Source organism: Homo sapiens, chromosome 18, assembly GCF_000001405.40.
Source record: "Homo sapiens chromosome 18, GRCh38.p14 Primary Assembly".
Classification (NCBI taxonomy): domain Eukaryota; kingdom Metazoa; phylum Chordata; class Mammalia; order Primates; family Hominidae; genus Homo; species Homo sapiens.
In genome coordinates this window covers 35,827,811-35,829,449 of record NC_000018.10, presented here as the reverse complement: position 1 = coordinate 35,829,449, position 1,639 = coordinate 35,827,811, and the positions used below count along the sequence as shown (strand labels likewise).

General features: G+C 44.4%; 1 annotated feature.

The window, feature by feature from the left end:
• Nucleotides 890-1,423: an enhancer, noted in NCBI's record as "NANOG-H3K27ac-H3K4me1 hESC enhancer chr18:33407991-33408524 (GRCh37/hg19 assembly coordinates)". NCBI's record gives its function as "activates a minimal SCP1, AML or CMV promoter by ChIP-STARR-seq in naive H9 embryonic stem cells {active_cell/tissue: H9 hESC(naive)}" and the evidence as "EXISTENCE:reporter gene assay evidence [ECO:0000049][PMID:30033119]".

Genomic DNA, 1,639 nt, shown 5'->3' with positions numbered 1-1,639 from the left:
ATCAGCTGGCACCATCCAGACCAATAAACTGGTTCATCTGGTCTTGTGGCCCCCACCCAGGAACTGACTCGGTGCAAGAGGACAGCTTCTGCTCTCTATGATTTCATCTCTGACCCAACCAATCAGCACTCCCAACTCAATGGCCTCCCACCTACCAAATTATGCTTAAAAACTCTGATCCCTGAATGCTTAGGGAGACTGATTTGGGTAATAATAAAACTCCAGTCTCTCATACAGCCCACTCTGTGTGAATTACTCTTTCTTCACTGCAATTTCCATCTTGATAAATTGGCTCTGGGTAAGAAGTGGACAAGACGAACCCATTGGGTGATTACAGGAAGTTGTTCCCGTAGCCCAAGAGCAGCTTCATGACTTCCCTATCGGTGTCCCCATTCTGCATTAGCACTCAGGAACATATGCTTGCAATTGATTTTGCCCTCCAACAGTAGAGACCAAAGCCCCTCTATCCTGGATCTTCGTGCCTTCAAGCCCCAGGTTAGGTAACTTTTCTGGCAAATTTTCCTTCATCAAACTTTAGTCAGGTTCCTTGGAGCTCTCTTCTTGACTTGGCCTCAGCCTTAGCCTTCTGTGCCTGTCTTGTCCTTCCCAGGCCTGCAGAGCCCAGTCTTAGCAAGAATCCTGCTAAGTCAGTTTAGAGAGAATCCTCCGCTCTTCATATCTGATCAAGTTCCTCACCCTCCATCTTTGATGTCTAAGTCCTTGGCTTGCCTTTGGCAAGAATCCTATTCAGTCAGTGTAGCAAGAATCTCCCTGTCTTTAATGTCTCCTCTTAGTAATTTTCCATCCACTGACCCTCCTTGCTTTGCTCCTTGGCTATACTGGTGGGGAGGAAAAATAATTTTCTCTCTACCCTTTCTGAGTTCTTAGCTAGGGCTTCCTGTAACAAATGACAGATTTACAAGAGAAAAACATACAGGGTTTAATAGCATGTATACCTAATGTATGCACAGGAGATACCTGTTACCGAACCAGGCCTGTTTTGTCTGCCATGCAATATGCCAGTCACTGAGACAATGAGTTTTGCAGCAGAGAAAGGGTTTATTCACATGGCAGCCAAGCAAGAAGACAAGAGAATAGATTTCAAATCGCCTCCCCAAAGATGGGGTTTAGGGTTATTTATGGGTTAGAGGAGCAGAGTGGTCTGAGGCATGGGGAAAAGTGATTGGGGATAAGGAAAAGTGAGATAATCGGTGTTCTGTATAAGCGTAGTCAAGCTTCATGGCTCTTCATAGGATGCATGTTTGAAAAATGGTAGTGTTAGCATGATCTGAGTTTGGAGCTCTCAGGTCTCTGATGTCAAAAGGTCACCCACTGGACATTTACACAGGCCCAGTTGAAGGGTTGGTGGTTTCAACCAGTTTGAACTGGACAAGAGCTGACTTTAAGTTCCTGAAAAACAACTTAGGCAATCATTACCTTTGTGACCCATAGTCAGATAAGTTATCTATAGTGAGGCTGAAAGGAGTCTTTAAACAAAACAAAACAAACCCAAAACAAACAAAAAAACAGCTAAAAGCAAGAAAAGCAGGTAAAAGTCTGAAGAGCCTAGTCAGGTTTGCCCTTGGCTTCATGCCCAGTGAAATGAATAAATCTCTGAGAGCTGCCTGTAAATTCAGGC